Here is a 9,286-nt window from a genome sequence, read left to right as displayed (position 1 = left end):
GAGGCGCCCCTCACCTCCCGGACAGGGCGGCTGGCCGGGCTGGGGGCTGACCCCCCCACCTCCCTCCCGGACGGGGCGGCTGGCCGGGCGGGGGGCTGACCCCCCCACCTCCCTCCCGGACGGGGCGGCTGGCTGGGCAGAGGGGCTCCTCACTTCCCAGTAGGGGCGGCCGGGCAGAGGTGCCCCTCACCTCCCGGACGGGGCGGCTGGCCGGGCGGGGGGCTGACCCCCCACCTCCCTCCCGGACGGGTCGGCTGGCCGGGCGGGGGGCTGAGCCCCCCACCTCCCTCCCGGACGGGGTGGCTGGCCCGGCAGAGGGGCTCCTCACTTCCCAGTAGGGGCGGCTGGGCAGAGGCGCCCCTCACCTCCCGGACGGGGCGGCTGGCCGGGCGGGGGGCTGACCCCACCTCCCTCCCAGACGGGGCGGCTGGCCGGGCGGGGGGCTGACCCCCCCCACCTCCCTCCCGGACGTGGGGCTGACACCCCCACCTCCCTCCCGGACGGGGTGGCTGGCCGGGCGGGGGGCTGACCCCCCACCTCCCTCCTGGACGGGGCGGCTGGCCGGGCGGGGGGCTGACCCCCCCACCTCCCTCCCGGACGGGGCGGCTGCCGGGCGGAGACGCTCCTCACTTCCCAGACGGGGTGGCTGCCGGGCAGAGGGACTCCTCACTTCTCAGACGGGGCGGCTGCCGGGCGGAGGGGCTCCTCACTTCTCAGATGGGGCGGATGCTGGGCGGAGGGTCTCCTCACTTCTCAGACGGGGCGGCTGGGCAGAGACGCTCCTCACCTCCCAGACGGGGTCGCCGCCGGGCAGAGGCGCTCCTCACATCCCAGACGGGGCGGCGGGGCAGAGGCGCTCCCCACATCTCAGACGATGGGCGGCCGGGCAGAGACGCTCCTCACTTCCCAGATGGGATGGCTGCCGGGAAGAGGCGCTCCTCACTTCCTAGATGGGATGGCGGCCGGGCAGAGACGCTCCTCACTTTCCAGACTGGGCAGCCAGGCAGAGGGGCTCCTCACGTCCCAGACGATGGGCGGCCAGGCAGAGACGCTCCTTACTTCCCAGACGGGGTGGTGGCCAGGCAGAGGCTGCAATCTTGGCACTTTGGGAGGCCAAGGCAGGCGGCTGGGAGATGGAGGTTGTAGCGAGCTGAGATCACGCCACTGCACTCCAGCCTGGGCACCATTGAGCACTGAGTGAACCAGACTCCGTCTGCAATCCCGGCACCTCGGGAGGCCAAGGCTGGCGGATCACTCGCGGTTAGGAGCTGGAGACCAGCCCGGCCAACACAGCGAAACCCCGTCTCCACTAAAAAAGTATGAAAACCAGTCAGGCGTGGTGGCGCGCGCCTGCAATTGCAGGCACTCGGCAGGCTGAGGCAGGAGAATCAGGCAGGGAGGTTGCAGTGAGCCGAGATGGCAGCAGTACAGTCCAGCTTCGGCTCAGCATCAGAGGGAGACCGTGGAAAGAGAGGGAGAGGGAGACCGAGAGGGAGAGGGGAGAGGGGAGAGGGGAGAGGGAGAGGCAGAGGCAGAGGCAGTACAGTCCAGCTTCGGCTCGGCATCAGAGGGAGACCGTGGAAAGAGAGGGAGAGGGAGACCGAGAGGGAGAGGGGAGAGGGGAGAGGGGAGAGGGGAGAGGGAGAGGCAGAGGCAGGGGCAGGGGCAGGGGCAGGGGCAGGGGCAGGGCTAGTTATATTTTTTTAAAAGAAGAAAGTCAAAGAAAGAGACAAAGAGGGAGGGGGAAACAATTGATAAAGGAGGAGAGGAAGAGACAGGAGAAAAAGAAAACAAACAAAGTACACACATACAAAGAAACAGAAAAATAGGCAGTGAAAGAGAGGAAGAGCAAAAGCAAACGAACAAGGGAGCGAAACGAACAAGAGAGCGACGTGCTGGTGGTGAGCAGGTGATATGGTTTGGATCTTTGTCCTCACCCAAATCGCATGTGGAATTGTAATCCCCACTGTTGGAGGTGGGGCCTGGTGGGAGGTGACTGGACCATGGGGGTGGTTTCTCATGAATGGTTTAGCACCATCCCCTCAGTGCTGTTCTCGTGATAGTGAGTGAGTGAGTTCTTGTGAGATCTGGTTGTTTAAAAGTGTGTAGCACCTCCCCCAACTCTCTCTCTTGCTCCTGCTCTGGCCATGTAAGATGTGCCTGCTTCCTCTTCACCTTCTGCCGTGATTATAAGATCCCCGACGCCTCCCCAGAAACTGAGCAGATGCTGCCATGCTTCTGGGTAAAAATTACCCAGTCTCAGGTATTTCGTTACAGCAGTGTGAGAACGGCCTAATACAGCAGGTGAATTATTCTCCTCATAACTTGGAGTTCACTGTGGACTTCAAGTGTCTGTCCTTTGAAATATGAAGTAGCTGCTTAACCACTGCCCAAAGTCTTTCAATTTCTCTTGACTTTTGGCCTTTCTTCCAAGACACTGGTAGTCAAATCAACGCACCAAAGGAAAACATGTGCTTTGGGCTACTGTGGTAGTGACCAGAATAATATTATCTTGGGGCCAAAAAGAATCAAGTTAGTAGCCAGACATCCCACAAACAAGAGACCACCAAACACTGTCAAGGTTAACAAAGCAATGGTAGCTCTTAGGACCTAGAATGCTATATAATCAGTAGGATAGTTTTTCATATGCAAATTATACTTTCAAAGTGATTGAAAATCATTTTCCCCCAAGTGTTGAAACTTCTTCCCTGGGATATTACTTAGCTTTTCTAATACAAAGTTCTTAATTTCTGGTGTATCATGTCTACATAAGAAGAAATGGAATGCCATGGTTTTTGATAATTGCTTTACAGCAAGATCCTTTCAGCCTATCAGACCCTTTAACTCTTTTCTCACTACACAGTCTTGTAGCTGTAACTGTCCTCTTACTGCTTGATCCATCTGTTACCTTTCTGGAATCTCCCCTGAGCTAAGCTAGTTACCAAACTGTGATCTCCCCTAAGCCATAAATCCAACCCCACCCCGCCACATACGGACACTAGTCTGCTTCCAAGACCACCTCCATTCATGGTTGTAAAGCAGAAATATAACACTGATAGAAACAAATGGAGGAAGTAGAATTTTTTGAAAGCCAAGGAAGCAGCCACATCCTGTAATAAAATTTAAAAAATAATCCCCATTGTCTACATTAAATTAATACCACAAAATAAAAGGGTATGTGTTAGGGGTGGGGGATTTGTTTATTTCAATAGCAACTTGCTGACATATTCCCCCTCGTCTTGTCACAGGTTGTCTGTCCCATTTCTGCATCAAAAGCCTGAACGTTTTGTTTGCTGGGTCTTTCAAGGTAATATTAGAGCCTGTGTTCTCCACAAAAACTAGCTCAACTCAGCTTGCATTCTCTGAAAAAGTTAGCTCGACTCAGGTGAATTATTTCTTGCATTTGTACATGACAACCTGATTCTTATAACAAGGCTTACTTATCAAAAGACTTTGAAGGATCTCCCTTCTCAGCATCAAGGTAGAACAAAAAGTTGGACATATGTACTGTGCATGATTTTCTTAGTTTTTTTTTTCCAGTCAAGATTAAGAGTTGCACCTACCAGAAAAGAATGATCTTATAGTTTGAATTGCCAGCTTTAGAGAAATGATACACTAGATCCCATCAAATATCAAGACCTATTTACTCTTTTCTCTATTTCCTTAACCAAAAGAGGCTCTTCCTAACAAAAATAACACCTACCTCAATACTAATATACAATTAACTATAATCTTCAATCTATTTTGTGACCATTCCTAGTCTTCCCCTGGGACTTCTACATGATTCTTTCAAAACAATTTTACATATCAACTGGAGACTTTTAAGGTGGATTTAACTTTTTAATTTACTGTATATATGCAATAACCTCTTGAAAATATGGAGTGCACTTACGGAATTATGCTTTCTTCTTTATCTCTCCTTTTTCTTTTTTTGTCTGAGATGCAAGATTTGGCAATGTACAGAAGAAAATACAGAATACAGTGTACTGATGCAGCATAGCTTTTGGAGCCACGTAGACATGGCTTTGAGACCTTGATCTAGTTATTCAACTTTTCTGTTGGTCTAGTTATTCAAACTTTCAGAGTTTGATTCCAGGAAATGGTAACACTCTCTATCTTATGGAATGCTATGAAGATCAAAAGAGATCTCAAAACTCTTGAGCCCGGTGGGTGAAAGATTGAAGATACAAGTAAAATTTATATGTTCCCAGTTTCTATGGGGCCAGGGAATTGGATGCTAGTTTACAGAAATGACTGTTTCCCAAATTTCCCCAATAATAATTTCTTATGGTATTTGTTAAAAATACAATTTCCCTGGTCTCATCGCAGACTTGATGATTCAGAAATTCCAAGACTTGGAAGCTAAGGAACTATATTTTTAACAAACACTCCTTATGATTCATACCATAAGAAAAATTGGAAAAACAGTGATATAGACTATCAGTGTCTGTTATGTTCTATAATTATAAGCAAAATTCAAAATAAAATAATATTTTAATAAATGAATTTTTAAATGTGTACAACTTCTTATGCTCCTAAATTATCCAGTTAAATATTTTAATTAAATTTTACGCTAAATATTTAAACTTTAAGTCCACCTGTCTTTTTCTCTGTAGATTCTACAAAGCAGTCAAATTTTATTCTCATTAGTGAATAAAAAAATAATTGCTTTTAGTTTTAACTGATTTAGTATTAGAAGAATAAGAGCCAACAATATTATAAAGCATTTTAGTAATATATAGTGCTATATGAATGTTTATTAAAACTGTAATAATTTAAATAATAACGGTTTATACCTACAAGACTTGACATGTGAGTTAACCAGTTAGCTTCATTTTATTTTATTTTATTTTTTTATTTTATTATTATTATACTTTAAGTTTTAGGGTACATGTGCACAATGTGCGGGTTAGTTACATATGTATACATGTGCCATGTTGGTGTGCTGCACCCATTAACTCGTCATTTAGCATTAGGTAGATCTCCTAAAGCTATCCCTTCCCCCTCCCCCACCCCACAACAGTCCCCAGAGTGTGATGGTCCCCTTCCTGTGTCCATGTGTTCTCATTGTTCAATTCCCACCTGTGAGTGAGAATATGCGGTGTTTGCTTTTTTGTTCTTGCAATACTTTACTGAGAATGATGATTTCCAATTTCATCCATGTCCCTACAAAGGACATGAACTCATCATTTTTTAGGGCTGCATAGTATTCCATGGTGTATATGTGCCACATTTTCTTAATCCAGTCTATCATTGTTGGACATTTGGCTTGGTTCCAAGTCTTTGCTATTGTGAATAGTGCCGCAATAAACATACGTGTGCATGTGTCTTTATAGCACCATGATTTATAGTCCTTTGGGTATATACCCAGTAATGGGATGGCTGGGTCAAATGGTATTTCTAGTTCTAGATCCCTGAGGAATCGCCACACTGACTTCCACAATGGTTGAACTAGTTTACAGTCCCACCAACAGTGTAAAAGTGTTCCTATTTCTCCACATCCTCTCCAGCACCTGTTGTTTCCTGACTTTTTAATGATTGCCATTCTAACTGGGGTGAGATGGTATCTCATTGTGGTTTTGATTTGCATTTCTCTGATGGCCAGTGATGGTGAGCATTTTTTCATGTGTTTTTTGGCTGCATAGATGTCTTCTTTTGAGAAGTGTCTGTTCATGTCCTTCGCCCACTTTTTGATGGGGTTGTTGGTTTTTTTCTTGTAAATTTGTTTGAGTTCATTGTAGATTCTGGATATTAGCCCTTTGTCAGATGAGTAGGTTGCGAAAATTTTCTCCCATTTTGTAGGTTGCCTGTTCACTCTGATGGTAGTTTCTTTTGCTATGCAGAAGCTCTTTAGTTTAATTAGATCCCATTTGTCAATTTTGTCTTTTGTTGCCATTGCTTTTGGTGTTTTAGACATGAAGTCCTTGCCCATGCCTATATCCTGAATGGGAATGCCTAGGTTTTCTTCTAGGGTTTTTATGGTTTTAGGTCTAACGTTTAAGTCTTTAATCCATCTTGAATTGACTTTTGTATAAGGTGTAAGGAAGGGATCCAGTTTCAGCTTTCTACATATGGCTAGCCAGTTTTCCCAGCACCATTTATTAAATAGGGAATCCTTTCCCCATTGCTTGTTTTTCTCAGGTTTGTCAAAGATCAGATAGTTGTAGATATGCGGCATTATTTCTGAGGGCTCTGTTCTGTTCCATTGGTCTATAGCTCTGTTTTGGTACCAGTACCATGCTGTTTTGGTTACTGTAGCCTTGTAGTATAGTTTGAAGTCAGGTAGCGTGATGCCTCCAGCTTTGTTCTTTTGGCTTAGGATTGACTTGGCGATGTGGGCTCTTTTTTGGTTCCATATGAACTTTAAAGTAGTTTTTTCCAATTCTGTGAAGAAAGTCATTGGTAGCTTGATGGGGATGGCATTGAATCTGTAAATTACCTTGGGCAGTATGGCCATTTTCATGATATTGATTCTTCCTACCCATGAGCATGGAATGTTCTTCCATTTGTTTGTATCCTCTTTTATTTCGTTGAGCAGTGGTTTGTAGTTCTCCTTGAAGAGGTCCTTCACGTCCCTTGTAAGTTGGATTCCTAGGTATTTTATTCTCTTTGAAACAATTGTGAATGGGAGTTCACTCATGATTTGGCTCTCTGTTTGTCTGTTATTGGTGTATAAGAATGTTTGTGATTTTTGTACATTGATTTTGTATCCTGAGACTTTGCTGAAGTTGCTTATCAGCTTAAGGAGATTTTGGGCTGAGACGATGGGGTTTTCTAGATATACAATCATGTCATCTGCAAACAGGGACAATTTGACTTCCTCTTTTCCTAATTGAATACCCTTTATTTCCTTCTCCTGCCTAATTGCCCTGGCCAGAACTTCCAACACTATGTTGAATAGGAGTGGTGAGAGAGGGCATCCCTAGCTTCATTTTAATATGCTGTTAGCAAATCTCTAAGCTTCATAGAGACAAAGCTTGAAATATTATGCATAAAAACAACACAAAAATTTCTTTGTATTTGAACCCAAATTGCTTTTTACTCTTTCTTTTTTTTCAGATGGACCTCTAGCTAATTGTACCTTTTAGGTTCAGAAGCCTTTGTATTTTTAAGTGTTTGGCATCCAGATATAAATTTTCTATTTCCTTCAAAGATGACATTGTGGATGATGATTCTCTTTGAGCGCTGTATATGACAGGGACCCAGAGAAGTGAGAAAATGAAGAGGAAAAGGTGTGAGAAGAGTTGGATAGACTAGTGTATCACCAGCAGCTCTTTAAAAATGAATGATTATTCTACAGAGAGCATTTACTGAGCTCTTACTAGGAGCCAGCTACTGTCCTAATGGCCTAAACATAGCTACTAATTGTTCTGTTGATTCATTGTTTTCAGTCTTGCCTCTGAGCCCTGTGATCAGCTAGAGCAATGGCAATTGTTGGTGACTCATAGATAATTTTCTGTTAAAAAGAGTGAGGCTGTTCTTGATTGCCATAGAGCATAACTACCACACAGTGGTTGATGCTCTGTTTCAGAACTTCCTATAAGTTTGTGCATACGTTTATGTCTATCTTGTGTCAATGCTGCCCAAAAAAGCTAATTGTTTATTTTGCTCTCATCCACTGTAGTTTGAGATAAACATGGTTTAGGGTTATTAAATCAGACATTAGATGTTATCTATAATCTAGATTATACCACCATATATTTGTTTATAAGTTGCTTTCACATTATTCCTTACTTGTTTCCTACTAAATTATCTTTTTTGTTTTAGCTAGTACACTTCTACATTTTTTTCCAGGATAAAACTACATCTGTGGAGGGTACTCAAATGTTGGTTCAATTAAATAAATATTTTACCTAATTAACTACACTATAGATTCTCATTGGTGACTATTTCTCTTCTTTTGACATTTGGTAAGTAACATTGATGATACTTTCCGTAACTTAAATATTTGATATGTAGTGTTTTGGGAAGGTCTGAAACTACCAGTAATATGAAAAGTCTGAACATGGTCACTAACAATTCTCAACAATACTCTCTATGGTTGGATTTGGGAATTTTTTTCCATTCCAGAGACATTAGAAAATACAAAAATTATACATGAGAGTTTTAAATAAAGGATTTTGGTTACTTTTCCTTTTTTTTTTTTTCTTTTTTGAGATGAGCACTTGCTATTCTGCCCAGGCTGGAGTACGATGGCTATTCACAGGTATGCACTACAGACTTGAACTCCTGGGGGCAACCCATCCTCCTACCTCAGCCTCTGCAGTAGCTGGGACTGCAGGAACACATCACCAGGCTTAGGTCTTTTTACTTTTATTGTGTATGTATTCTATAAAACCATTATGTATTTGTTTATATTTTCCTTAAAGGTTTTTCTTATTCTTAATGTTTCGATGTGTAGTCTTCCAAATTTGCTTTTATGCATAGATGCATTTTTTCATAAAAATGTGAGTGCACGCTTACATTCTATTGTAATTAATTTGTAGGCATAATATCTCTTCATAAAGTTGCTCATTTTTTATTGAATGGACAGCTGATGAGGGTGAGGGTGGACAGGGTCTCACTATGTTGCCCAGGCTGTTGTTTGGCTTTTGCGTTTGTTGTTCTTTCTGGATGATGGTACAGATCTTTGAAATATTTGTATATTTCTTCAATATTTTATATACTAAGGAAAAAGAAACATATGCGGACAGCTAATTAAAATGTCCTTTTCTTACTTAAGTAGGTTGAAAAGTATGCCATATAATTTTTCATGACTTTGACCTTGGTGGTAACTTCTTCAAAAGTCCGAGCAAAGGCTATACTATTATTACTTTGCTTTGTAAGCCTTTACCATTCATGGTTTCCTCAATGCTCTAAGAAGTCCTTATAAGTATTGGCAAAAAATCTTTGTAAGAATTTCCTTTCATATAAGAATAGAGTCTTCCCTATTATTCACAGGTCCTCAAGAAAGGTGGATAAGTACCTGTGCACCCCAAAGACCAAGGCTTAGTTGACATAAACATATCTCTGGATATACTGACCATGGCTCCCCACTACTAATTTCTCGAGCTGTTTAGTTGTGAGTCAGTATAAGGTAGTGGGATAGACCTTTGATTATGAAATTGGACACAGAGTTGGAGTCCCACTTATGCAACAATTTAACTGCAATTATTCACTTATTTGTCTTCTTCCACTACATGGACAAAGATCGTGTTTTATTTGCCTTCCTATCCCTATCACCTGGCACATAGCACTCAGTTAATACTTATTTAATGAAGCTTGAATGCATCCCTAATCTTGGACA

The sequence above is a fragment of the Homo sapiens genome, chromosome 11, assembly GCF_000001405.40.
Source record: "Homo sapiens chromosome 11, GRCh38.p14 Primary Assembly".
Classification (NCBI taxonomy): Eukaryota; Metazoa; Chordata; class Mammalia; order Primates; family Hominidae; genus Homo; species Homo sapiens.
Note: the sequence above shows the minus strand (reverse complement) of the source record.